Source organism: Homo sapiens, chromosome 1 (genome assembly GCF_000001405.40).
Source record: "Homo sapiens chromosome 1, GRCh38.p14 Primary Assembly".
NCBI classification, from domain to species: domain Eukaryota; kingdom Metazoa; phylum Chordata; class Mammalia; order Primates; family Hominidae; genus Homo; species Homo sapiens.
Window position 1 is genome coordinate 6,490,630 of NC_000001.11, and position 26,835 is coordinate 6,517,464.

General features: G+C 58.6%; 1 protein-coding gene across 4 annotated transcripts in view, besides 7 other annotated features; it reads right to left on the bottom strand.

Annotated features, from left to right (window-relative positions):
* Positions 1-26,835, bottom strand: part of PLEKHG5 (pleckstrin homology and RhoGEF domain containing G5) — a 52,971-nt gene that overhangs the window by 23,508 nt on the left and 2,628 nt on the right. Inside the window, exons 1-2 of one of the 4 annotated variants that reach the window (NM_001042663.3) lie at positions 6,691-6,783; positions 5,864-5,940 (exon numbers count right to left, since the gene is read on the bottom strand). In NM_001042663.3, the coding sequence (NP_001036128.2) occupies positions 5,864-5,887 (24 nt within the window). In that variant the 5' untranslated portion in view covers positions 5,888-5,940; positions 6,691-6,783. Of the gene's footprint in view, positions 1-1,007; positions 1,039-5,863; positions 5,941-6,329; positions 6,603-6,690; positions 6,784-26,835 lie in introns of those variants that run through there. The other 3 variants (NM_001265592.2, NM_198681.4, NM_020631.6) reach the window with 3 other exon arrangements.
* Positions 99-188: a silencer, noted in NCBI's record as "silent region_159". NCBI's record gives its function as "represses an Ori minimal core promoter by ATAC-STARR-seq in GM12878 lymphoblastoid cells {active_cell/tissue: GM12878}" and the evidence as "EXISTENCE:reporter gene assay evidence [ECO:0000049][PMID:35858748]".
* Positions 249-328: a silencer, noted in NCBI's record as "silent region_160". NCBI's record gives its function as "represses an Ori minimal core promoter by ATAC-STARR-seq in GM12878 lymphoblastoid cells {active_cell/tissue: GM12878}" and the evidence as "EXISTENCE:reporter gene assay evidence [ECO:0000049][PMID:35858748]".
* Positions 4,692-5,447: an enhancer, noted in NCBI's record as "OCT4-H3K4me1 hESC enhancer chr1:6555381-6556136 (GRCh37/hg19 assembly coordinates)". NCBI's record gives its function as "activates a minimal SCP1, AML or CMV promoter by ChIP-STARR-seq in naive H9 embryonic stem cells {active_cell/tissue: H9 hESC(naive)}" and the evidence as "EXISTENCE:reporter gene assay evidence [ECO:0000049][PMID:30033119]".
* Positions 7,151-7,240: a silencer, noted in NCBI's record as "silent region_161". NCBI's record gives its function as "represses an Ori minimal core promoter by ATAC-STARR-seq in GM12878 lymphoblastoid cells {active_cell/tissue: GM12878}" and the evidence as "EXISTENCE:reporter gene assay evidence [ECO:0000049][PMID:35858748]".
* Positions 11,876-12,605: an enhancer, noted in NCBI's record as "H3K4me1 hESC enhancer chr1:6562565-6563294 (GRCh37/hg19 assembly coordinates)". NCBI's record gives its function as "activates a minimal SCP1, AML or CMV promoter by ChIP-STARR-seq in naive H9 embryonic stem cells {active_cell/tissue: H9 hESC(naive)}" and the evidence as "EXISTENCE:reporter gene assay evidence [ECO:0000049][PMID:30033119]".
* Positions 16,168-16,668: an enhancer, noted in NCBI's record as "H3K4me1 hESC enhancer chr1:6566857-6567357 (GRCh37/hg19 assembly coordinates)". NCBI's record gives its function as "activates a minimal SCP1, AML or CMV promoter by ChIP-STARR-seq in naive H9 embryonic stem cells {active_cell/tissue: H9 hESC(naive)}" and the evidence as "EXISTENCE:reporter gene assay evidence [ECO:0000049][PMID:30033119]".
* Positions 20,931-21,745: an enhancer, noted in NCBI's record as "H3K4me1 hESC enhancer chr1:6571620-6572434 (GRCh37/hg19 assembly coordinates)". NCBI's record gives its function as "activates a minimal SCP1, AML or CMV promoter by ChIP-STARR-seq in primed H9 embryonic stem cells {active_cell/tissue: H9 hESC(primed)}" and the evidence as "EXISTENCE:reporter gene assay evidence [ECO:0000049][PMID:30033119]".

Below are 26,835 nucleotides of genomic sequence, written 5' to 3' on the forward strand. Positions count from 1 at the left end.
TGGACCGGCCGGGATGTACCAACGGCGCCGCCCGGCTGGGACCGGGGAGAGGAGGGGTCCCAGGAAGGGCCCCGCGCCGGAGCCAGGGAGGTGGCTGGAGGCCGGGCGGTGGCTTGGGGTAATCCAGGATCCGGGCTCAGGGGAGGGGGTGGGGGGCGTCACTGTCCCCGAGGGGCCAGCCCTTTGCAGATCTCCAAAAAGTTCAAAGTCCCTGGTCATTAACTTGGGCTTGAAGACGGGAGCTCGCCCATCCCGGAAGGGGGCTAGGGGGGACCAGGGCCCGCGACAGGAAGCCTCCGCGCGACAGAAAAGCCCCGGGGGACCAGGCAGAGAGACCCGCAGGCCTAGCCCGCCCCGGAATCGCCCTGAGCCAGGTTCGCTTCCGCTCTATTGTAAAAAGCTGGATTCTGATCTGCGGCCTCCGCGGTGCCCCAGAAACAGCCCGCTTTTCTCTGGGCCCCCTCTTTTTTTTTTTTCTGGCCCAGGTGATATGGCCGGAAAAGGGTGCTGTTCTGCCATTTAGTGGTTCCCAGTTCCCCTCTCCCAGCAGCGGGAGTTTAGAATAACTCTGGGCTCAGGACTGGGAAGGGTGTGGATACAGGGGGCCCACTCGAGGAGGTGGAGTTCAGGTCCACCAACCTGTTCCGCACTTTCAAGCTTTTTATACAGCCTTCCCCCGACCCCTTCCCAGGCCAAAACCTCCAGACTGCCCCACACAACCCTTGGGGCTGGGCCTATACTAGGGCAGCTCCTGGCTGGGCCAGGGATCCCCACGTCTTCACCTGCTCCCCCAAAACTACTTAGCCAAAACCCAGGAGTCCCCTTGCATTGTTTCTCTGGCCCTGCCCGTTTCTTCAGCTGCAGATAGCCCCACCACCTCTCTCCGGGGACCAGTCACTTCCAGAGATGGCCCAAACCTGGCCATTCCCTGGGGCATCCTGGTCTGCCGCTGCTCACCCCCAAAGCATTGCCCAGGAGAATAGGTGATTGCCTCTCCCATTACTCACATCCTGCCCGTCCCTTCTCCATGGGGGCCTCAGGTCCACCCTTTCCTCTCCCTGGTCTTCATCTCACCACCCCTCCCTCCACACACGCATACCCTGACTCATCCCTGCCACCTCACAGGCCATTGTTAAGCTGCAAGGGAACTCTGAAGTCCTCCCATCCAACCTCCACTCCACACTGCAATCCCCTCTACGCTTCCCTTTCTGTCTCTTCTTGCATATGTCTAGTGATGGGGTGCTCACTACCTCCACTTCGGGGATAGCTCCAGCTGCTGGAAACTCTTTCCTGTAGTGTGCTGAACCCCACCTCCCTGTCAAGGCCTTTGGGAGCTGTGCAGAAAAATTCACCTCCCTTTCCTCCTGAGAGTTCTGAGGAAATGGGAGGCTCTGACAGAGAGGCCTGGTTTGAGTCCTGATCTTGCCTTGCTTGGCAAGTCATTTTACCTCGCCACTCTGCAGGGCCCTCTCTAGGAAACGGAGATGGGGTAGGCCCCACCGCAGCGGGGGAGGCGGCCAGATGAGGTTTCTGTGCCAGGCGCTAAGGCAGGGCCTGGCATACAGTACGTGCTGGATCAATGGCGGCTGCTGGAATCACTACCTCCTCCATGATAAACACCCTCACATGTGGTGCCCAATGTCCCCTGTGGCCCAGGGCCACAAGTGTCCTCCTCCATGCCCCCTTGTGACCTGGGACGCCCTGACTAGACCTCGAACAGTGCCCAGTGGAGCCCAGCAAGGAGCTGGGGAGTCCACACACTGTCCCGTGGCCACCTCACAGGAGGGCAGGGGGAACCCACAATATCATTAGTCTGCCTTGATCTCCCGGCCTTTCTCCATCTCCCCAAACTCACAGCTCCACCTGTGTGCAAGAAGCTGGGATGGAGCCTGGGGAGGTCTCAGATCCCAGGGCAGGTACGGAGGGCACACCCAAAGTCTAGAGGTGACTTTGTTACCCCCACTCCCAGGACACCTTGCACACCTACGCTGTGCTAGGCTCTATGCTAAGCATGTTATATATGGGCCTCTTTTAATCCTCGCTGCCGGGTTATTTTCCAGATGAGGAACCTGGGGTTCAGAGAAGTGTAGTGACTTCCCCAGGGTCGCACAGCTGGAAAAAAGTAGGTTTGATCCTGGAGCTCAGAGGTGTGGACTGCTCTACATATCTTCATCCTGGGGAGGGGCCATTTCTCTCCTGGGGTCTCCATGACACACAGTCCAGACCCCTCATCTGGACATGCAGGTGCTCCTAGTGCAGCCTGCCTCCCCCTCCTCCCGTCCCCTTCTCCCTGTGCCCCCTGGCCTCGCTTGCCCCTTATAGCCCCCAATGTCCCCCCCTGCTCACTCAGCTGTCCTCCATCTCAGTACCTCTTTAATCCTCAGGACTCCAGTTGCCTCCAGGAAGCCCATCCTGGTTAGCCCTCCTCCCAGTGGGAACTCCAGGGGCAGGAGGTAGGGGACAGATGGCAAATTCATCTCAGAAGCTCCAGCACCCAGGAGAGCCTCAAATAAAACATCAAGGGTGGGCCCAGAAGCCGAAGGGTCCAGCCCTGCCTGAAATTGGTCCTTTGCCAGGGCAGCCTGGGGGGAAGTTTGGCCAGCCAGGGTCACTTCCCTTCCTTCCTCCCAGCACAGCTAGAATGTCACCTCCAGGAGGGCATCCCCTTTGTTCTCTGGAGATCTCCTGGGCCTAGAACTGGGCCTGGCACCGACAGATGCTCAGAGCTGGTCTGGTAAATGAATAAATGAAGTCATCTCCTTCAAAACGCTAGTCACATCCTGGAGAGTAAGAATAGGGCTCTTGATCAGACAAGCCTCACGCAGGCCAGGCTCTGACGATCATGCTGTGTGATGTGGGCAAGTTCCTCTACCTCTCTGGGCCTCCGTTTCCTTACAAGTCATGTGGTCATAAGAATAACGCTGTTCTCCTGAGGGTCTCAAGAAGCTTCACTGAGACAAGCAGGAGGGCCTAACGCCCCGCCTGGCATGTAAACATGTTCGGTCAGCAATAATTGTTATTATTATTATTATTGGGTGTTTTTTGAGACAGAGTCTCGCTCTGTTGCCCAGGCTGGAGTGCAATTGCGTGATCTCAGCTCACTGCAACCTCCTTCTCCAGGGTCCAAGCGATTCTTCTGCCTCAGCCTCCTAAGTAGCTGGGATTACAGGTGTGTGCCACCATGTCCGGCTAATTATTTTTTATATTTTTGGTAGAGATGGGGTTTCACCATGTTGCCCAGACTAGTCTCGAACTCCTGACCTCAAGTGATCTGCCCACCTTGGCCTCCCAAAGTGCTGGGATTACAGGCATGAGCCCCTGCGCCTGGCCTGTTATTTTTGAGACAGGGTCTTGCTCTGTTGCCCAGGCTGCAGTGCAGTGGCACAATCACGGCTCACTGCAGCCTCAATGTCCCAGGCTCAAATGATCCTCCCACCTCACCCTCCCCAGTAGCTGGAATTACAGGTACCCACCACCACACCTGGCTAATTTTTTTTTTTTTTTTTTTTTTTTTTTTTTAGACGGAGTCTTGCTCTTGTTGCCCAGGCTGGAGTGCAATGGCATGATCTCAGTTCACTGCAACCTCTGCCTCCCAGGTTCAGGCAATTCTCCTGCCTCAGCCTCCCGAGTAGCTGGAATTACAGGCACCCACCACCATGCCCAGCTAATTTTTATATTTATAGTAGAGATGGGGTTTCGCCATGTTGGCCAGGCTGGTCTCGAACTCCTGAGCTCAGGCAATCTGCCCGCCTTGGCCTCCCAAAGTGCTGGGGTTACAGGTGTGAGCCACCACGCCAGGCCTTTTTTTTAATTTTAGTAGAGAGAGGTCTCCCTATATTGCCCAGGTTGGCCTCAAACTCCTGGGCTAAAGCAGTCCTCCTGCCTCAGCCTCTCACAGTGCTGGGATCGCAGGTATGAGCAACCACACCCAGCCAGTAGTGGTTATTATTATCATCATCGACAATGTTATTCTTTGTTTCTCTTACCAAATCTGAGTGCCCCGCACCTCCTCTCCACCACTGCCTCTCCCTTCCTGGACTGCCCTTGCCTCTGTTCTGTCTATCCATGTTTTCACATCCATTAAAGGCCCCCTCCTCCAGGATGCCCTCCCTGACTGGCTCTCTATGCCTCTGATAATTCAGGCATTTCTGCCCCTACAGTGAGTCTGTGCCATTTGTCCCAAAGGGCGTCCCAGTAGTGACAGGGCCCAGACTCTCCCCGTGCACGCTGGGTGACCCTCATCAGCTGATGCCAATGTCAGCTGTGCCAAGTTCCAGGCAGGCCAGGGCTGGAGGTGAGGTCTGGAGGCTGCAGAGGGACCATACCCACTCTGAGACCAGCTCTCTTCTCCCAGGCCTCACCTCTATGAAGGCTGGGCCATCCCACCCCTGCCCCTGCCTGAGCAGCTTGAGGACCCCCCCTGAGAGCAGCTGCCCAGAGGAGGGGCTGGGACAGTGTGCCTTATTGCCCCAGCCGCCCCTTCAGGTCAGGCAAAAGCCTCGGGGCTCCGCAGGCCTCTGGCAGGATGTATATTGGGGGGAGCTGAGGCCAATTTGTTGCCAGGAGCCCCCATCTGGGAAAGAGGCAACCAGCCAACACCAGAGCCCAATGCCAGGCACCATCCGTGCCAGCAGATTGTATCTGACATCACACCGCCCCCCTGCCTGGTGACCACGGCAACTGGAGGCCGCCCCCTCCCCGCCCCGCCCCATAGCAGTTCTCCCTGTTCCCTCACCACGGCCCTCCTGTGCAGAACGAGTGTGTGTGTGTCTGGGTGGAGGTGCGGGAGGGGAGCGGGGGGTGGGGGGTGGCATTTTACATTTCCTGCAGCTGGCAGTGCTGAGACACATGATGGAAGACAACACGGGCCCTGGTATGACACAGACCTGGGTACTGGGTTCAAATCCCAGCTCTCCCACTTCCTAGCAGTCTGTCCCTGAGTGAGCCTCAGTTTCCCCATCTGTAAATGAGAATAAGGACAGGACCATCTCAGAAGGCCGGAGGAGGAGTCAGTGAGTCCTGGTGCCTGCGCCAGATGCTAAGTTGCGCAGTTGTCACTATTGTCATGTAAATGCATGCTGGGAGGGGCAAAACCTGGCTCCAAACCCCGGCTCCATCTCTCATGAGCTGTGGGCCTTGGCCAAGTCACTGGACCTCTCTGAACCTTGGTGTCTTCATCTGGAAAACGGGGTGACGATGCCTTCCCTGCAGAGCTGCCGCAATCAGTGCATATGGCACAGAAAGCGGGTGGCACTAAGCCCAGCACATCACAGGCAGAAGCGCCCAGCCAGTACTATTATCCTCCTTCCTGCCCCCTTTATCCCTGATTTATACTTCGCCCCACTCCCAGCTCCCAAGCCCTGGCACTCCAGGATCAACTGGCCCCTTCCTCCTTTTGTCATCCCCAGGGCCATGGTCACACTCGCCAAGTCCCAAAGCATCTCAGACCCATGCCCAGGCCTGAAGAGTGGCTGAGTTCAACAGGAAGGGTGCCATCTGGGCACTGGACCAGCACCGTGGGAGACCACTTCCCCTGGCTAAGCCTCAGTTTCCTCATCCGTGACATAAGGCTACAGCTCCTGTCACCTCAGAATGGCTGCTAGGACCACAGTGCAGCAAAGGGCTTTGGGGTACTCCACCCCCCTGTTCTTGTAGAAGTCCCCCGACTCCACTGTTCCTGAGCTGGGGGCAGGCCCTCTGCCTCCTAAACCAGACACACTGTGGCCCCACCTACACTTGAACCCAGCCCAGCCAGCCGCGCCCGTGCCAGGGCTCTGTGGATAGCTGGTGCTGGGATAGAAAGGGCAGTTAGAGCCCTGGCCCCTCTGCCCCCGAGGGTCCCCAGGCTCTCCAGCCTCCCTACCTTGGCCGCCCGCCCCTTGTCCATGCAGGCGGGGTTCTGACAGCGCAGTCCCTTCTTTTCAGCGGGGCTCTGGTCGTCTGCAGGGGAGGAGCAGAGGGCATCAGTCAGCGGGGCACCCAGGCTCCCCTGGGCCCCACTGGCCTCCCAACCGGAGGAGGGGTGGGGTGATCTCCTCAGTCCTCCCTTCAAAAGAGGTCAGCGTCCCTTTCTCTTTTAAATGCCAACTTATCTGCACGGGAATCCGTTTGCAGAGCCCTTTTCTCCTGCAGTCCTCAGGGAAATTATCCAGATTCCACGGGGAGAAAACATCTTTGGAAATACGCTGCTCTCTCCCTCTGTCCCTCTAGTCTGGGGGACAAGTGGGGGAGCGCTCAGTGACCTTTTGGGGCCCCAGACTTCCCAGGGGGTCCCGGCAGGGCTGCTGGGGGGAAGGGGCTCCAAGATCCCAGATCCCTGAGAACCTTACGCCCTGCATCGCTCCCTTTAGAGACAGAGGAGCCCCCGAAGGTCTGGGGCGACCCCCGTTCCCCAAGACTCATCTTTGACCCTGAATTTGGCCCCCTCCAAGCTGCCTCTCTTCCTGGGGGCTGGAGTGCACCGCGGTGGGGGCAGAGCGGCGCAACCAGCGAGAGGCGGGGGGAGGGAGGAGAAGCGGGGTGCTGCCGAGGCAGGCCCCGACTTGGGGGCCGAGTTTGGGTACGAGCGGCCCGAAGCCCGGTCGGCGCCCACCCCCTTGCCTGGAGCGGGCCCTCCCCGGAGGAGGTTAGGAGCCGGCCCGGCCCCCCAGGACCCCGCCCCGCGTCCGCCGGGTCCCCGCCTGCACTCACCCATGGAGCAGGCCCCGTGCCGCGCGGGGGGCGGGCGGCGGGCGGGGGCGCCGGGGACGCCGGGGACTGGGAGGCCGCAGAGCCGCCGCCGCCGGACCCTCGCACGGGAGGCGGGCGGGGCAGGTGGGCGGGGAGGAGCCGCGGCGGCCCCGCCTCGGGGGCGGGGGGCGGGGGGACAGGAGCGCGGCCGGGCCTCGGCGCCGACGGTGTCACCCCTCCCTCCCCGGCTCCCCGGCCCCTGCGCGCTGCGGTCCGGAGGCTGCCTCCACCTCCCGGAGGGCGGGCACCGGGGCGGCTCAGGAAGCGCGCACGGCTCTGTCCTGGAGGGTGCCATCCACGCGGAGGGTGCCTGTCCGCAGGAATGCAGGCCGGGAGCCACGCAGAGCCCCCACCCCAGCCCGGAATCGCTGTCTCCGAGGTCAGTTTCCATGGCAACACGGAGGCTGCCCCGCGCAGGGTGAGGGCTGTCACCGGGAGAGACTCGCCTGCCACGGCTCTTGCTGCATGTCCTCTGCTGGTTCAGTTTTAAACTTTATTGAAGTGCAAACGCGGACAGAGAAGTGCACCTGTCCTGTGAGCACAGCTCAACACATTTTCAGGAAACTTTCACAAAATAACCTGTGCCCAGACCGAGCTGCAGAGCGTCCCCACCCAGTCCCCAGCCCCCGCCACCTCCCTCGTGCCAACCGGTCCCCCCAAGGGCACCGCCGCCCTGACTTCCAACACATCGATTCGTCTGCCCGGTCCTGTAGTTTATGTAAATGGCATCAGGAGATAGCAAACCCTTTGCCCTACAGAAACAGCCTCGCAGAGGTGGCCAAGAGTCTGCGGGGGCTCAGTGCTCCTGAGCCTGCCTCTGGACCCCCAGCCCACCCTGCACACTGGCACCAGGAGGCATTGCGCCGACAAGACCTAGGTATAGAAGATGCAGCTTCCAGCAGGGCCGGGTCCCTCTCCCAAAGGCTAAGGGTGGACTTCCCTGACCCCTTCACTGGAAGGCCTCTCAGCTGGAGCCTCCCTGCATGGACTCCTTACATGGGCTGGGTCCGGCCCTGGGACTCACAGGTGACCAGAAACTGGTGCCTGCCCCAAGGACTCCTGGCACAGCAAAGTAGCACGGATCCCGGGTCTCCTGAGCTCTCTGGATTCATTCAGCAAACACACTAAAGATCCTCTGAGGATCCCCATGAGCCAAGCTCTAAGCTGGGTGCTGGGGACTCACTGGTGACCCTGACAAGACTTGGGGAGCTCACAGGGGGCCTGGTGGGCAGGGTAGCCCTTTGGGGGGCAGCACATCTGCATGACCCTGGGGAGGGGGCTCTCGAGGAGGGGCTGCCACAGGCACCCCGGGGGCCTCCAGGCTGAGAGGGAAGCAGCTGCCCGGGGCCCTGGGCCTCCTCAGTGCACAGCCTACGGGAACTCTCAGGATCCTCAGGCCCAGCCCAGCCTCACCCCCACACTGTGCTCATTTCCCTCTCCGAGTCTCTGCTCTCAGCCATCCAAGGGGCCAGCGATGCCTGTCCTGCCTCTAGGCTGGAGGTGGAGGCAGCCGAGGCAAGAGACGGCCCTGTGAGGACTGTGGCGAGGTCCCTGCCTGCTGGGAGGAAGCTGACTTGAGGGTGGAGTGGGGTTCGGGGCTTTTGTCTGCCATGACTCCAGCAGGCCCTCCTCTGCCATCTGTGTTTCCACGGGGACCTGGAGCCCTCAGCCAGCTTTGTGGGAGTTTCCCATGCGTCCAGCCTGGGACTTCTCCAGCTGAGCAGGACAACATCTGCTGTCCGCCCAGAAAGTTTCCAGGCCCCTGCGTTCTCAAAACTCTGAGCCTGGGGTTGGATTCTCACACCCTTTGCCCCAGGGCCTCTGGATTGTAGCCCCGTATTCTGAAGGCTCCGGGCCATGTCTTCTGCCACTGGGTCTGCCTCACCAGCTCCCTAGATCCCCCCATGACTGCTCAGGTCACAGCCACCATCGGGCCTGACTATCCTGTGGCCTCTATGCCACTTGGGTTCTGGAATTCCTTGTCCTTTGCCTGGTACTTCCTGGCACTGGGGTCTACCTGCCTGAACTCTCCGGCCTCTGACCCCTGGTCTCAGCAGGCTCCAGGTGCTCACCCTGCCTTCTAGACCCTACACTCCTGATCCCCTGGTCCTGGCTCCCCTGGGAGGTAGCTCCCTCTGGGCTCTGCTCTAAAGCTGCAACTTCCTGCATTGCGTAGGCGAGCTCCTCTCTCCTGGAGACTGCAGACACGAAGAAAAATCCATCAGGACCCTGGTAGCTCTCAGGGCCCAGAGTGGGGCCTGTGGGGCTTGGGGGTGAGGTCAGGACAAGCAGTCCCCACCATAGGCCTGTCATGAGCTCTCCTGCAGGTGACCTATCCCCATCTACAGCCTTCGAGGAAAGGGTGGGCCTGGTAAGGGGGACATACTGTATCAGGTGATAGCGTACCCTGGACATAGCTGGGTTTTTCTTAATTTAATTTAATTTAAAATTTATTTTTTGAGACAGGGTCTTGCTCTGTTACCCAGGCTGGAGTGCAGTGTTGTGATCAGGGCTCACTGCAGCCTCGACCTCCTGGGCACAAGTGATCTTCCCACGTCAGCCTACCGAGTAGCTGGGACCACCGGTGCACACCACCATACCTGGCTAACTTTTTAATTTTTTTATAGCAACGGAGGTCTCACTATGTTTCCCAGGCTGGTCTCGAACTCCTGGCTTCAAGGGATCCTCCTGCCTTGGCCTCCTAAAGTGCTGAGATTATAGTTGTTGAGCCATCTACATAGCCTGGCTCAGCCAGTCAGATTTGCTCTCCTGAGACTATGAATTGAGACAGGCCTGGGAAGGAAACATGATTCCGATCCCCTTCCTGATAGGAGCCCACAGGCAGGACTACTACTGGGCCCTGGAGACTTGAGTCCACTGAGAGTCAGTCCAAATAGGTACGATGCCCCAAGATTGTTGGGGAGCAGGAAAAAGGGGAGCAGCCCCTCAGTGGAAATCACCCCAGAGCAGACAGGGCAGGAGAAGGCAGCTTTGTGAGAGTGGGCAGCTCTCGGGGTGGCAGGGGGGCGGCCTCCTCTGCCTGCCCCGGGCTTCCCTTGGGAGCCCTGCCTCTTCGTAGCAACCCCTCTTATGTGGACCAGCCTAAGCGGTGTCTGCTCCCCGACCTCAGCCCGACCCTAAGCAGACCTGGAACCCTGAACTCCCCCCTCCGCTAAGCAAACCTGGAACCCTGAACCTCCCCTCCAGGCAGACCTGGAATCTTGAACTCCCCCCTCCCCTAAGCAGACCTAGAACCCTGAACTACCCCCTCCGCTAAGCAAACCTGGAACCCTGAACTCCCCCCACCCCTAGCCAGACCTGGAACCATGAACTACCCCCCTTGAGGCAGACCTGGAACCCTGCACTCCACTCGTCCCTAGGCGGACCTGGAACCCTGAGCTCCCGCCACTGCATGCCAGACACTGCCTCCCCACGTGCGCAACAGCCCAGCTGCCCTCCTGGCTCCCCCACCTCCCGTCGCAGGGAGACCAGGGCCCTTGGCCAGGCAGAGGAGCCTACTCGCCAGTTCTCCCCCGACCCTGTCTCAGTCGCAGGAGGCCACTTGGGCTTTGTCCTGAACATGATCTCTACCAGAACTGGGCCTCGGGGCGCGGGCAGAACGGCCGGCAGACATGTTTTGTTTGGCTGAGAACAGGGTTTCGGAAGAATTTAAATTGGTTGCCAACTTTGAAAAGTCAGGAGATTTCACATAAAAGTCCATATTTCTGGCTTCTCTTGACAAACCAGAGGAGCCCGGCAGCTCTGGACCCATGTTCTGGACGGCTCCAGCTCCCGAGCTGTGTCTGCCTCGGATCAGCACAAATGCTTCCAGCCCCCACAGTCCACGCCACTCCGTCGCCCCACCGCAGGCCCCTCACTCCGCTACTTGCCGGACACAACTGAGCTTCTGACCCCAGCCCAGCCCTTCTTGGTGCTATTCCTTTGCCCTCCCCCAGCATCCTCCCATCGCTGTCTGCTGCCATCCTGCCCACTCTTCAAGGCCCAGATTGAAGGCTGCTGCCTTCAGGAAGGCCTCCCTATTGTCACATATCCCAGTTCCAGGTGAACGTGTCCTTGCTGGACTCCCACTGTCTTGAACCTTTGAACCAACACCGACCTGTCTTCCCCATCAGACGGCTTCAGGAACGACACACAATGACCACAGCTCTCACTTGCCAACCACCTGCTGGGAACTCTGCTGTCCATAGATGGTGTCGTTTCACCATCTAACTCTGTGTAGAGGAATGATCATTGTCCCCATTTTACAGATGAGGAAACTGAGGCGTGGAGGGTAGAGAGATTTGCCCAAGGTCACACAAGTAATGAGAGTAACGAGGCTGTGAGTGTGTAAGCCTCCAAGCCTGTGCTCCTAACCGCCAGGCTACAGTGCTCCCATGGGGCCTGACACAATTAGCTGTCTGGAAAACGTGAATTGGTCCCCCCATCATGACATGAGTGTCCCCTTTCCCCACTGGTCCCAGGCTGACACAAGTGCATGGAAAACCACCTCGTTCTCATTTTCTCCAGGGTAGCCCCTCACCTGTGAACCCTCCACTCCGATGAACCCTTCTGTCTCAAGAAAACAGGCCCTCCCTGCCCACGACCTCCCAACCACAGGCCTGGCCATGCAAAGGCTGCCCCTCTCAGGAAGCAGCTGTGGCCTTGAATGTCCCCTCCCGCGTGAGCCCCACCCTCCTGGGCGCCGGTCCATGCCTGGGCAGCTGCTGCAGGCCATGCTGGGGCTGGACCTCTTAGCCGCAGCAGCCTGGGGAAGGGCAAGATTTGTCCCAAACCTGGCCAAACGCCAGAGGGGCATGTCCTGGGTAAATGGCTGCTGGTCCCAGGACATCCGCCACTCCCTATGCAGGACACTGGTTGGAGCGTCACTGGAGGCCTGGGAAGGAAATGTGTTTCTGATCCCCTTCCCAAAGCGCCATGGGGCACCTTGGGGCAGGTCAGTGAAGTAGGGACCCAGCTGCAGGGAGGGGCATGGACCTTGGCCAGGACACTGCTTCTGCCTACAGCCCAGAACCACCGCTGGCGTAGTCCCCGGGGACCGGAGAGCTGAACACAGCCCTACCCACCCACACTGCTCGAGCTCAGTAAGAAGAGGTGGGAGGACACATTCAGGATTCCTTCCTGGGGCCCAAGAAACTGTCCACACAGCTCTGCACACAGGCCTGGGGCCAGCCGGCCACTTCCTCCGGCTGAGGCTACTGCGGGCGCCTGCCCATCTGCCCCCCGTGGGCTTCCTCCAGAGGTTCCTCAGAGGAACCGAGAGTGACCAAGGGCGGAACAGGAGCGGGGCTGCAGAAATAGCTATGAGATCCCAATTCCCGACAGTCACACTCCAAGCGCCAGTCCCACCCCCATCACAGGCAGGGCTGGCATCGGCCCACCCTGCATGGGCCCCGGCCAGGGTCTGGCTGGCACAGAGGACAGAGCCCACACAGACAGCCGTGTGCCCAGGCTCACCCACCCGACCGCCTCAGCTCATGCATGAGACCTGTTCACGTGCTGTGACCCAGCCGCTGTGTGCAGCCCCCCGGCGCCTCTCTGCCGGCCCCGGGGAGAGCTGGGGCAGGCACACACGGGTGAACAGGTCTCAGTTCTGGTGCTCAGGCTGAGGGTGTGCATGGTGCATCTGGGTGCCACCACTTGGGATCTCAAAGGCCTCGCCACACCTCACCAGGATAAAGGGGATTCCAAGAATGGCCTTGACTCAGAGAGTGGGCATGGATATTCCAGGAGCCTAGTTTTAAAGAGCTTTGAGGCTGGACATGGTGGCTTATACCCATAATCCCAACACTTTGGGAAGCCAAGGAGGCAGAAGGATCATTTTAGTCCAGATGCTCAAGACCAGCCTGGGCAACATAGAGAGACTCCATCTCTACAAAAACATTAAAAAACCAGCAGGGCCTGGTGGTGTGCACCTGCAGTCCCAGCTGCTTGGGAGGCTGAGGCAGGAGTGCTGCTTCAGGTCAGATGCAGTGAGCTGTGATCTCGCCACTGCACTCCAGCCTGGGTAACAGAGCAAGACAACCCTGTCTTTTTTTTTTTTTTTTTTCAGATGGAGTTTTGCTCTTGTCACCCAGGATGGAGTGCAATGGTATGATCTCGGCTCACTGAACCTCTGCCTCCCGGGTTCAAGTGATTCTCCTGCCTCAGCCTCCCAAGTAGCTGGGATTACAGGTGCCTGCCACCATGCCTGGCTAATTTTTTGTATTTTTTAGTAGACACATGGTTTCACCATGCTGGCCAGGTTGGTCTTGAAGTCCTGACCTTAGGTGATCCACCCGCCTCGGCCTAGCAAAGTGCTGGGATTACAGGCATAAGCCACCGTGCCCGGCCTACCCTGTCTTAAAGAGAAAAATAAAGAGCACTTGGCACTGGGTATGCCCTCTCTACGTTAGCTCTGTGGCCAGTGTGATCAAGGGGCCCCAGAGCTGTGAAACCCCAGAAGCAGGAGCCGCCTGCCCCAGAGGCAGGAGAGACAGGCAGCTTCATAGATGTGATTCCTGCATCTGAGCCGTGAGGGCATCCCAAGGGGAGGGACCAGCAGGATGACTGAGATGTACAGAACAACTAAGAGAGCCCAGGGAGGGCCTGCCTCTGCAGACGGCGAGCAGCCCCACTTTGCCCCACCCTGCCAAGGGGAGCACAGTCTGAGTGGGGGCGAGAGGTGGGACACAGGCTCCCATTGGCTGGCCCTGCTGGCTTGGGGCTGGGTGGCTAAACGACCTGGGTCAAGTCTCTGGCTCTGTTGGGTCCTGTAGCACCGTACCTGCCTCAGGTAGGCAGGAAGCTGCCGGGTGAAGAAATAGAGCAGCCTGCCCCCGATCCCACCCTCCGACTCCAGGACAGTGCCCGGCTGAGGGTGGAGGGGAGATTTGCCCCCCCAACATCAGCTGCCACACTCCTCCTCACCCCACCCCCACATCCCGTGCTGCCTCCCGCATCCCCACTGCCTCCACCAGCTGGGCAGCTGGGCCGCCCCTCTCATGTCCTGCCCTCCCTGCCTTCTGCGCACGTCCCGATGGGGCCTGGAGTTGCTGGGGCCTGTGGGACACTGTACCTGCCTCTCCTGACAAGCAGCCACATTCCCCCTCCTCCACAGTGGGGGGCTGGTCACAGGCAGGGACGCCTGGCCTTCATGCCCACCCGGCATCGTCCTCTCTCCTGGGAGCAGCACTTCCCTTCTCTCTTTTTTTTTCTTTTTTTTTTTTTTTGAGATGGAGTCTCGCTCTGTCACCCATGCTGGAGTGCAGTGGCACAATCTTGGCTCACTGCAAACTACACCTCCCGGGTTCACGCCATTCTCCTGCCTCAGCCTCCGGAGTAACTGGGACTACAGGCGCCCGCCACCACGCCCAGCTAATTTTTTGTGTTTTTAGTAGAGACGGGGTTTCACCGTGTTAGTCAGGCTGGTCTCGATTCCCTGACCTCGTGATCCGCCTGCCTCGGCCTCCCAAAGTGCTGGGATTACAGGCATGAGCCACCGTGCCCAGCCTACACCTCCCTTTTCAAAACCCTTCGCTGTATGGTCTGCGGGCTCCCTCTTGCCTCCCAATGTGGACCGCAGGCTGAACCGTCACTCTCCCTGCCTCTGGCCTCACGGATGGGCTCAGGGAAGGACCACGCCAGCCTGGGGAGACTCATCCAGGACAGGCTCCTGCTCCCTGGGCTTGTGGCCTGGGGGAGGCCAGCTCCTGGGCCCGAGGATGAGGCTAATGGAGAAGAGAACCCAGGCCCAGGCCCCGGCCCCAGACAGTTCCACAGTGCTGGGAGCTGGAGATCAGCGCTCCGGTAGCTTCTGCGGACCGGACTCAAGTTTCTGTCACTGCACCAAAGCTCCCTGACAGAGCTAGGTCCCCAGCCCACAGTGCCGGTCAGCCCACTGTGCCGACCAGCCTACAGTACCGACCAGCCCACGATGCCGACCAGCCTACGGTGCCGACCAGCTGAGCTGAGCGGACAGAATGGGCATCCGACAGCCAGCACAGGTGCGCCCTGCCTCTGCCACCGCTGTTTGAAGCTCCCTGTGTGTCATCCCCATTAGTGCTCTCAGCCTCCCAGTGACCCCCAAGGCATCATTATTCCCATTCACAGCTCCCCAACCTCTCACCCCCAGGAGCAGTCCAACGTCCCACCCCTCTAAACACAAGCCACGGGGCTCAGCGTCCCCGAGAGCTCATCCTGCCTCTTCAGGGGCTTAAACTCCCTGTACCTCTGTTTCCTCATCTGTAAAATGGGGACAAAAGGAGAAATGACCCACGTCCTGGGACCTGGAACGTGAATGTTCCAGAACATCTCATTACACCACCCAGCCCTGAGAAAACACCATGGCCTGATCTTGCGGGCGGGGTGAGAGCAGAGGCAGAGGCCAGGCCTGAAGCCCAGTGCAGGGCCCACGCTGCCCAGCCAGGCCAGCCCTGGAGGAAGGACAGCCTCCTCAGCTGCTTGCCTGCCCTCTGGCCCCCAGGGTCCTCATTTCCGGGTCCTCTCCTGCACCAGCGGCAGCTCTCAGGAGTGGCTCTGGCCCCCACACCACCGTGGAGCAAGTGACTGTCAGCAGCATGTGTGTGTGAATGGGCTACAGGCCCTGGCTGGGCAGGCCCGGTGCCAGAGCCTGCTGAAAGTCCTCCCGGGAGGTGGGTTCGCACCTACCCCCGAGGTCCTCGATGATGTCCAGGGTGGAGCTCCACGAGAAACGCTCCACCGTCCCCAGCTCCAGCTCGGCCAGGTCGCCGGGCAGGGCCTCCAGCTCGTAGGTGCCCCGCTTCCTCCAGTAGAGAAACATGCTGAGGCCAGGGGAGGCCGCCCCGCCTGGCCCGCGCCCTCGGAGGCTGGGTGGCCTGGGGACGGGACGCAGGGAGTGCAGGGGCGCAGGGGGTTTCAGGGACCACTGGGGCTGGCCTCGGCTGGCAGGCGCTCCCTCCTCTGGAAGGGGAGCATTCTGGGAGCGGCTGGGGGCCTCAGAGCTGACCAATGGCCAGGGCCCCGGCCCCACACAAAGCGCCTTTCTTCCCCTCCTACAGACATTTTACAAATTTCGCCTTCCCGGCCCCCTCGGAGCCCCCACCGAGGAGACGGGCTGGCCGTCTGGGGACGACAGAGGCCCGGAAAAGAGTGCGATTGTTTCGTGGTCTCTTTGCTAAGATAGGTTTCCAGAGAAGAAAAATGTGCTGCCCGAGGAGCAATTCCGGCTCCCCACCCCTGACCTGTGACCCCGCTCCCAGCCCCAGTGGAACCCTGCAGGATTTCTCAGTGAGGAACAGAAGCACCTGTGGGGACGCCGTGGGCTGCCCCTAGAGATGATTCCAGCTCCTGCCTGGACCCTCCCCAGGAAGCTCAAGGCATGTCCCTCACCTCCACTGAGCCGAGGCCCCCAGAGGCCCCCCAGCAGGGCAGGAGCTGTGGGCCAGGCCTCACCCTCAGCCTGCCTGTGAGGTCTGGGCTCTGCTCTCTGGGCTCCCTTTCGGGGCTGGCCACACTTCACCAGGCTGCCTCCTCCTTCAGATCATGTCGCCTACACCAATGGCAGCGCAGGCATAGAGCCCTAGGCAGCCGAACCTCTGGCATCCTCAGGGGAGCCTCATTGCTCCCGAGCGGCGGGTGGAGCTGGAGGAAGTCAGAGGGCTGGGGGTGCAGACCCTTCACAGAAAGAACCATGAGAAGAAGAAAAAGCGAGCGGACAGGCGGGGAAATGAAAAGCCACTGGTCAGTTGATTCCAGAGTGTTGTCCAAACTGCAAAATGTTCAAGCTAGAAAATAGCAACTCAAAGCCTATGGCAGCCCTCCTGTGGAGAGACCTCTGCCACGGTATCCACGTGACCTGTGCCCCAGCAGGGTCATTGTGGCTTTCCCTGCGTGTGTGGGCACTTCCTTCATGGCACAGATGAGGAAGCTGAGGCTCAGCTTACAAGGAATAGAACTTGTATTTGACCCCAAGACTGTCTAGCTTCAAAGCCAACTTGGGGACCTGAACAAGCAGCTGGGGGAGAAGGTGGGGGTGATCAGAGGGCCATGGGGCAGCCCTTCAGAAATCCAGACTTGAACGGGGCCAAGGGCAGCTTGCACTGGGCTCCCCAGCCAGGCTTTGCTGAGCCTCCTCTGTCTTACCCCACCTGTGCCCCCCCAGCCTGCCAGGTCTGAAGGAGCAGAGCCAGGGCAGAGCTGGCTCTCCTAACAGACCAGATGCCTGGCAACAGAGACCCAAGGCCCAGGCAGAGGGAGCTGGCAGCAGAAGGCTCTGTTTCCGGGGGGCGGGGGGATGGAGGGGTCACCCCAGGGCTGTGGCAGGGGGTGCTGGAGTGGCCATCCAGGCAGCCTGCACGCCCCCAGCTGAGGGCTAAGGTGCCAAGAGGTGGCTTGAATAATTCGAACCATATGCCTGCCTGGCCGGCCCCTCCCGCGCCGGCACGGGGCCAGGGAGGACAAACGCAGGCCCTTGGCCTTCATCACTGGCACCCACACGACCTGGGCCTGAGCCCACAGGAGCTGGGGGTGTCCCTGGCTCGTGTTCATGTGGCAAGTGGCCTGCCTGGGGGTGTCAGACTGAGGCTTAGGGAATAGGACCATCCATGGCCTGGCCAGCCATCTCTGTCTCAGACCCACCATAGCAGAGGCCAGGGCCAGTGGGGTGGGTCCTAGAGCCTTTACCCAGCCTCGGCCCCTCTTTGTCTGGGCTTGGTGGGAGCCACACCTGGTTATTATTTTAGGACAGCCAACCCCAGAACATCCCCGCCTGGGTGCAGCAGAGACTCCTTCCTACCCTCAACTGTGGGCTGAGCACAAGGGGACGCCCCTGCTGCAGCGGTCACCTGGGGCCCCACTCCCAGGCATCCATTTCGGGCTCGGAGGCTGAACCCTCCTGAGGGGCTGCAGCCCTGGATGCCAAGAGGAGGAGGCCGGGCTCCACCCTCCATCCTGACCACACGGAGCATCATCTTCTGTGTTCCCTCTGCCTCCAAATGTGCCTCCTGCCTCCCACCTCCCACCTTCGCTTGTGCTGTTCCTGCTGCCCGGCTGTCCTCCTCTGTCTCCCACGCTCCTTCCATACAAGGCTAGAGGGTCCCCCACCCAGCCTCCCGATGCAGGAAGGCAGAGGCAGCCCCAGTGGGTCAGGGGAGGCCCCCCCAGGCCAGTGAAGCGGACCCCCACAGTGCTCGAGGGTGCAGCGCCAGCCCCTCTCTCTGAGGCAGCAGCTGTCCAAGGCAGGTAGACACACCTGGGCCTTTTCCTCGGGTCTGGGGAAAACCAGGAAACAAGACTGACGAGCGATGCCGCTGACAAACACGGGGGTTGCTCTTGGTGCCTTCAGGGACAGCTGTCTGTCTTGCATTCTGTTGTGTGCCCAGCCTCAGGCAGGCTCTCCACTTACCATGGCCCAATGCCATACTGAGCAAGCACTATTCACACATCATCTCCAATCCACACTTCATCCCCAATAGCAGGTGCTACTGTCCCCACCACAGAGATGGAGAAGCTGAGGCCATGACAGGCAACTTGCCCAGGGCCACACAGAGCTAGGAAGAGGGAGAGCCAGGGCTGAGCCCCAGAGCGGTACACACACTGCTGGCCGCACTGCCCACCCCGCTCTAGGCCTGGCCCTCCTCACCCACCTGTAGCGCCTCTCGAAGTCACTGCTGGGTACAGACAGGGAGCTAGAGGCCCGAGAGAGGCAGGCGGGCCCTCAGCTGGAGGGCTGCTCTCCCACAGCCCCAGACCTATCTCGGGGGACTCAGTCCCCTGGAAGCCTCACGGCCTCTGGACAGGAAGATCCCAGGGGAGCAGAGACAATTGGTTTGTGCCCTCACGCGGGCTGCCCCTGGGGCTGGGAGCTGTGGCCCTGGGCCCGGAGACCCTAAGATTTGCCTCTCGTCCCACCTCTGGTTCCTTCTGTGCTCCAGTGAGCATCCCCTGGCCTGGGGCTGGAACCAGGACAGGCAGAGGGACAGGGGCTAAAGACAAGGGCCCGCTTCATCCCGTTCCTGGCAATGGCCTTGGACATGGGGAGGGGGCGAGTCCTCTGCAAACTACAGCTGTTTCCTTGAGAGCGGAAGTGCCAAGTGAGGGAGGACCCAAGCAGGGTCCACCCCCGCAAGGTCTCGCTGAGTAAGGGGCCAAAAGAGGAAGAGAAACAGGTGGCAGGACCCGGCCATCGACCCCCACGCCAGGAAGCCACGGCCACTCGGGAGACGTAGGCTCTGGGGCACTTTTCCTGCCTAAGCTCACAGGCTGGGGGCTCCACGGGCCCCTGAACATCCTTTCTCCCCTCAACCACCCTGGATGACCCCTTCCCACTGCAGGGGTTTTCTGAGGGCAGCCCCCGGCAGGGGAGGGCTTGGTTCAGGGTTAGGCTTCTGCCTCCCAAGCTGGGCAGCCTCGGCCGTGACACTTCCCGATTCCACATCTGTAAAATGGGTTAAGGAGAGAGCCCCCCAGGGTGTCATCTCCACAAGACCCTGCACGCACAGGGCTTAGCAGGGAGCCTGGCGCAGGGTGAGTGCTCACCCCAAAGGGATAGACTTGGTGGGGAGTCCCTGTACCCAACAAGAGCCCCGTTCCTCCCCGTCCCCAGGCAAGGCCCACTGTGGCCTCTTGTGGACCCCAGGGCCCCAGGTGCAGGTAACCACATTCCTCCCTTCCTCTCCCGGTGTCTGAGGAGGCCTGTCTGGACCCCCAGGGCAGCCGGGGAGAGCCAGCTGCGTGCATGCGGGGCCGCCATGCCCAGTTCTAGCTACCCGGCTCTCATGAGAAGCACCCAGGCAGCCATGCTGTGGGTGAGTGTTTCTGCACAGGCCAGGCTGCAGAGCCCCATTATGTAATCTGGAGAGAGTGGGCGCTAGCCACTCCCCCTGCCCTCTGGCTCTCCTGTCTCTGTTCTTCTGGCCAGGCCCTCCCCAAACGCTCCACCAGGCCAAGTAAAAAGAAGAATCTGCCTCTGCCCGGCCGGGCACAGTGGCTCACGCCTGTAATCCCAGCACTTTGGGAGGCCAAGGCAGGTGGATCACGAGGTCAGGAGTTCAAGACCAGCCTGGCCAAGATGATGAAACCCCGTCTCTACTAAAAATACAAAAATTAGCCAGGAGGGGTGGCAGGCACCTGTAATCCCAACTACTTGGGAGGCTGAGGCAGAGAATTGCTTTAACCTGGGATGCAGAGGTTGCAGTGAGCTGAGATCATGCCACTGCAATCTAGCCTGGGTGACAGAATGAGACTCTGTCTCCAAAAAAGAAAAGAATCTGCCTCTGCCCTCTGGAGGCACAGGCTGAGAACCCTACAGGGCCAATACCTGATAGTGACCCTGGGGGCGGGGGCCAGGTGGGGCGGAGGCCAACCCACCAGCCAGCAAGCAGTGGGCCCAGTGTCAGCACCTGTGGGAGGGGTGAACAGGGCGTGGTGCGGGCAGCACAGACCCTTCCTCCAAATTAAACAATTCTGGGCTGGGCACAGTGGCTCATGCCTACAATCCCAGCACTTTGGGAGGCCAAGGCGGGTGGGGATCACTTTAGGTCAGGAGTTCGAGACTAGCCTGGCCAACATGATGACATCCCGTCTCTACTAAAAATACAAAAATTAGCCAAGTGTGGTGGCAGGTGCCCGTAATCTCAGCTACTCAGGAGGCTGAGGCAGGAGAGTCGCTTGAACCTGGGAGGCAGAAGTTGTAGTGAGCCGAGATCGCGCCACTACACTCCAGCCTCAGCGACCGAGTGAAACTGTGTCAAAAAAAAAAAAAAGTTAAACAATTCTGAAGGCCAGATGCGTGGGTCCAGTGCCCCAGCCCATCTGCCAGTCCATTTGTTTGGAAGATGCTGGTGGAAACCTGGGCCACAACCACCTGGCCCCTGGCCAGCCCGTCCTTGAGCTTCAACCAGGCCTCAGCCTTAGCCCCCAACACCCTCCCCTCCCCACAGTCTCTGATGGGCCCTGTGCCAGCCCTGGGTGCTGCTGGGGTGGGGGATGGACCAAAGAGGACAGGCACCACCAACAAGGACGGTCACTGACTCCTCCAGCCTGGGTTTCCTCCTCTGTAAAATGGAGACAATCCTAAGCCCCGACTAGGGTGATTAAATGAGGCTGCCTGTATGAAAGGACCCCGCTTGGAGCCTGGCAAGCCCGAGAGAAACGTCTGAAGGGGGCTGGCGGTCACCCAGCAGCTGCCGATGCCCACCGCCCCCAAGACAGGAGGGATCCGAGAGGGGTCCCACACACTCCTGTGCTGCCCAGACAGGCCTTTCTCCAATCCTCAGGGCCCCCAGGCGCTGGGACTGAGGCATGTGAGATGGGGGACTGAGGCAGCAGGGCCACGACAGGGCTCACAGAGCGAGGACTGGGCCGGCAGAGCCATGCAGTGGCTTCACCTCCAGGCCTGGAGTGGGCACTGCAGGCTGCCTGACTGCAGCCCCCCCAGAGAGGCTGCCCCCAGCACTGCAGAGAGTGAGTGTGTGACTGCCACTATGGCCTGAATAGAGGAAGGGGGAGAGGGTTCTGCTGGCAGGAAGCCCAGGGCCGGGCAGGGGAGAGGCCCTTGGAAGCCGGGGAGCCCGTGCTACTCTCTTCCCTGTGCTCAGGAACAGACTCCTGCTGGGCCAGGGACCCTCTCAGCCCCCTTTCCCTGGCTGTCCTTACAGCAGGGACACTAACATCTGCCGGTGTCCTATGTATTATACCAGGACTCTGGACCAAGGGCCTTCAAGGTGGCATCTCCTTTAATCTACCCAGTGGCCCTGTGATTGGATCACCATCACCCCGTTTTACAGAGGAGGAAGCGGAGGCTCGGGACGCCTGGAGACCTGCCCATGTCGCTCGGAAGGGGTTGGGTGCTGCCGCAGGGTCTGTCCACCACCCTCCATACCATTGGCTCCTCCTTCACAGCCGAGATATTTGAGCTCCACATGCTGTGGGGTCATCCCAGGCCGAGCGAGTTGTCCTTCCTGCTCAGCACTGTTCAAGCCCTGAGGCCACGTGAGCTCAAGTGGGCTTCTCCCAGCCCCAGATGTGCCCCCTGACTTGGACTCTGGGAGCCATTCAGGCCTGGACAAACCTCCCTGACCTTCGAGCCCACTGGCATGGGCCCCTCCCCGGGCTACCGAGTGTGTGGGGGGCAGGGAAGCCAGACAGTGGGGCCCTCAGGCCCACTCGGCTCACCAGCAGGGTGGGAGGCCCAGTCACTGCCCAGCATCTGGCCGGACCATCATCACCCACCCAACCACCAGCTGCAGCCTCGGGACAACTGCAGCCTGGGGCGGGCCGACCACAAACCAGCTCCCACACTGTTCTAAGCTCTGTCTCCAGGATGTCTTTCAGTGCCATCAGCCCTGCCCTGCGCTGGCACAGCCTCAGGCCACCACCGCCCTGCCTCAGTCCCTCCCCGTCTCACATTTACCCCCTCCAACACAGCCTCCAGAACCAGCCGGGCTCCCCGGGTTCAAATCCCAGCTCCAGCTCCTGCCGGCTGTGCCATCTCGAACAAGTTGGGCCTCAGTTTCCTCATTTATACAGCGTAGGCCTCACAGGCCTCACAGGGTGGCCATGGGGGGGTGAATAAATTAATCCAGGAGAGTCCCCTCCAAACTCAGAGACAGTGGCCAACAGTCACAGCAGAAGAACAGAACGCAAGTCTGCAAATGTCACTGTCTTGATTAAAAGCCTGCCCCCGGCATGGCCACTTAGACCCTGGGGCCCCGCCCACCCACTGTTCCTGGTGGAATCGGTAGCTCCTCTCACTGACGCCTGGATCCCGCTGTGGAGCTCCCCTCGCTCCATCTAGCCTGGGAGCCCTTAGAATCTAGACTCTATCGGGGATGCAGGGCCCAGGCCCAGCCTGGCCCAGGGCAGGTGCCAGGGAAATGCTTATTGATTTGAACTAGAATCAATTTGCAATCAACCATCTCTCACCAGGGCTGACTTCCAAATACCCCAAGGCTTGGTCCAGCTGGGCTCCACCTCACCCTGTGTGTCAAGGTGGCAGGGCTCCCTGGCATCCAAGTAGGACCATGCCCAGAGGGCAGCCCACATGCCTGGATGCCCGCCTGGGGTCAAACCTGGTCCCCTTGGAGAAGCTGAGACTCAGACTAAGACCCAGCAGCTGCCACCTGCCGGGGATTTTTCAGCCTGAGGTGAGGGGAAGAGGCGGAAATGAAGGCTGTTCCTCGGGGCTGTCTGCGGCCAAGCCAGCACAGCTACATTCCAGCCTGACTGCCAGCTGCTGGCCACTGCAGACTTTTAAACCTGGCCAGACAAACTGAGAGACTGGGGCCCTCTCGAGGGCCAAGTCTGTCCAAGGAACAAAGGCTCCTGGGCCGGGCTCCCAACCACGGAAAAGACAGGCTGGACTTCCAGAACAGCTAGGATTTCAAACCATCTACCCCATTGTCGAAACACTGGTCCTGTTGGTTGGAAACTGTCACTACTGTCACTGTGGACATGCCCAGCAGAGACCCAGGCTGCCTCGGATGGGCCTTGTCTGACTGTTGGCCCACAGAAGTCAAGGGCCCTTCCCCGCTAAGCCCAGGACACAGGCCCAGCCTCCAGAGGCAGTTTCTGTGCAGGGCAGCTATGGGGTCTCAACCCATCTTGGCATTACAGAGGAGGCTGTTTCCTGAGAGCCTCCCATATGGGCCTGGAGGGGTTCTGCCTGGATCCTGTTCATTTACATCTCGAGAAGCATAAAGCAGGGACAGGTATGGAGGTTCACGTCTACAGTCTCAGCACTTTGGGAAGCTGAGGCAGGAGGACTCCTTGACCCTAGAGTTCAAGACCAGACTGGACAACATGGCTGAGACCTTGTCTCTACAAAAAAAATTAAAAATTAGCCAGGCATGGTGGCACTCAGCTGTGGTCCCAGCTGCTCAGGAGGCTGGGGTGGGTCTCTGGAACCTGGGAGGTTGAGACCAGGCTGGGCAACATAGTGAGACCGTGTCTCTACAAAAAGTTTAAAAATTAGCTGGGCATGGTGGTATGCGCCTGTGGTCCCAGCTACTCAGGAGGCTACGGAAGAGGATGACTTGAGCCCAGAAGGTCAAGGCTGCAGTGAGTTGTGATTGTGCCACTGCACTCCAGCCTTGGTGACAGAGCAAGACCCTGCCTCAAAAAAAAAAAGAAAAAGAAAGAAAATGGCCGGGTGTGGTGGCTCACGCCTATAATCCCAGCACTTTCGGAGGCTGAGGCAGGCAGATCACGAGGTCAGGAGTTCCAGATCAGCCTGGCCAACATGGTGAAACCTTGTCTCTACTAAAAATACAAAAATTAGCTGGGCATGGTGGCAGGTGCCTGTAATCCCAGGTACTCGGGAGGCTGAGGCATGAGAATTGCTTGAACCCGGGAGGCGGAGGTTGCAGCGAGCCGAGATCATGCCACTGCACTCCAGCCTGGGTGACAGAGCAAGACTCCATCTTGAAGGAAAAAAAAAAAAAGAAAATTGGCCAGCCGCGGTGGCTCAAGCCTGTAATCCCAGCACTTGGAGAGGCTGAGGCAGGTAGATCACCTTAGGTCAGGAGTTTAAGACCAGCCTGGCCAACATAGTGAAACCCCAACTCTATTAAAAATACAAAAAATTAGCCAGGCATTAATCCCAGTTATTCAGGAGGCTGAGACAGGGGAACTGCTTGAACCTGGGAGGCAGAGGTTGCAGTGAACCAAGATGGTACCACTGTACTCCAGCCTGGCGAGAGAGCAAGACTCCATCAAAAAATAAAAAAATAAAATAAAAAGAAAGAAAGAAAATCATACCGAATTTTGGATATAACAACAGCTACAAATAGACAATGTGCTAAATGCTTTGAACATTTAGAGCCTTCAGTAGGAACTCTGCTTCCAACAGTGACGGAGTCAATAAATCAGACCCACCTTCCCATTTGGGACAACTAAAAAAGCTGGATGAGGCCGGGTGTGGTGGCTCACGCCTGTAATCCCAGCACTTTGGGAGGCTGAGGCAGGCAGATCACGAGGTCGAGAGATTGAGACCATCCTGGCTAACACGGTGAAACCCCGTCTCTACTACAAATACCAAAAATTAGCCGGGTGTGGTGGCGGGCGCCTGTAGTCCCAGCTATTGGGGAGGCTGAGACAGGAGAATCACTTGAACCCAGGAGGTGGGGGTTGTAGTGAGCCAAGATTTTGCCACTGCACTCCAGCCTGGGTAACAGAGTGAGACACTGTCTCAAAAAAAAAAATGTATGAGGTTGGGCATGGTTGTTCACACCTATAATCCCAGCACTTGGGAAGGCTGAGGTGGGAGAATCATTTGAGGCCAGGAGTTGAAACCAGCCTGGACAACAGAGCAAGACTCTGTCTCAGCAAAAAATTAAATTAAAAAAAAAAAGACTATGTAAGAGGGTCTTTAGAAGTGGGAAATCTAACCAGAAAGATAAGCAAATTTAATATAGTGTATCCTCTGGACACCACCCTCGGAAGTTCTGGAGGCATGACCCCAGAGTCCCCTACCGCTGCCCCTGCTCCTCTGCCAAGAGCCATGGCATTTCAGCAATGTGAGTGGACAAGAGGGAAATGCCTGGTGACCACATAAGGAGTCACCTGACTAGTCATGCCCCTCATATCTCAGGGACATGGACATGGAAGACGGTGACCACTTACTCTGCTGGTGGGAGAATAAGTGGCTGTCTGGATGACAATCTGGAAATGTCAGAATGAAATTGCTCACAGCCTTCCACACAGAAATTCCACTGTCCTAGGAATTCCCTCTACAGATGCTCTTTCACAAGTGCACACAGACACAGACACAAGAATGTCCACTATGGCACCATTTGCAAGAATGAAAAACTGGGCTGGGCTTCGTGGCACACACCCAGCTATTCAGGAGGCTGAGGCAGGAGGATTGCTTGAGCCCAGGACTTTCAGAGACCAGCCTAAGCGATATAGCAAGACCTTGTCTCAAAAGAAAAAACAAATAGGTGAAATATTGGAAACAATCCAAAAGTTTGCTATTAGAGGCCTGGTTTAAAATTTCAGGCATATCCATGTATATCGTGAAGCCATTAAAAAGGATGAGGAGGCCAGGCGCAGTGACTCATGCCTGCAATCCCAACACTTTGGAGGCCGAGGAGGGTGGATCACCTGAGGTCAGGAGTTCCAGACTAGCCTGGCCAACATGGTGAAACCCCATCTCTACTAAAAATACAAAAATTAGCTGGACGTGGTGGCGGGCATCTGTAATCCCAGCTACTGGGGAGGCTGAGGCAGGAGAACTGCTTGAACCCGGGAGGTGGGGGTTGCAGTGAGCCGAGATCACACCACTGCACTCCAGCCTGGGCAACACAGTGAGACTCTGTCTCAAAAAAATATAAAATAAAAGATGAGGAATGTTTTTATGTATTGGCAAGTTTTTTGTACTGGCATATATATATATGTGTGTATATATATGTGTGTGTGTATATATATATGTGTATATATATGTGTGTGTGTTATATATATGTGTATATATATGTGTGTATATATATGTGTATATATGTGTGTGTATATATATATGTGTGTGTATATATGTGTATATATATATATATATATACACATATATATATATATATACACACACACACACACACACATGTACACTTTTGTTCTGCTTATAAAAGTAATACCTCTGTGGCTGGGCAAGGTGGCTCACACCTATAATCTCAGCACTCTGGGAAGCCAAGACGGGTGGATCACTTGAGGTCAGGAGTTTGAGACCAGCCTGGCCAACATGGTGAAACCCCATCTCCACTAAAAATACAAAAAAAAAGGCCAGGCGCGGTAGCTCACGCCTGAGACCCCATCTCTACTAAAAATACAAAAAATTAGCCAGGTGTGGTGGTGGGCACCTGTGGTCCCAGCTACTTGGGAGGCTGAGGCAGAAGAATGGCATGAACCTGAGAGGCGGAGGTTACAGTGAGCCGAGATCGCGCCACTGCACTCCAGCCTGGGTGACAGAGTGAGACTCCATCTCAAAAAAAAAAAAAAAAAAAGATACAACCAAGCATATGCTGAGAATAGGTGACCATTCTCTGCTGTTCATGGGGTAGGTATGATACAGGGGACACTCCAAAAGGTCTGTAACCCCCAGTGTCACCCACACCTGGACGCAATCTCCCTTCAGTAAATAAG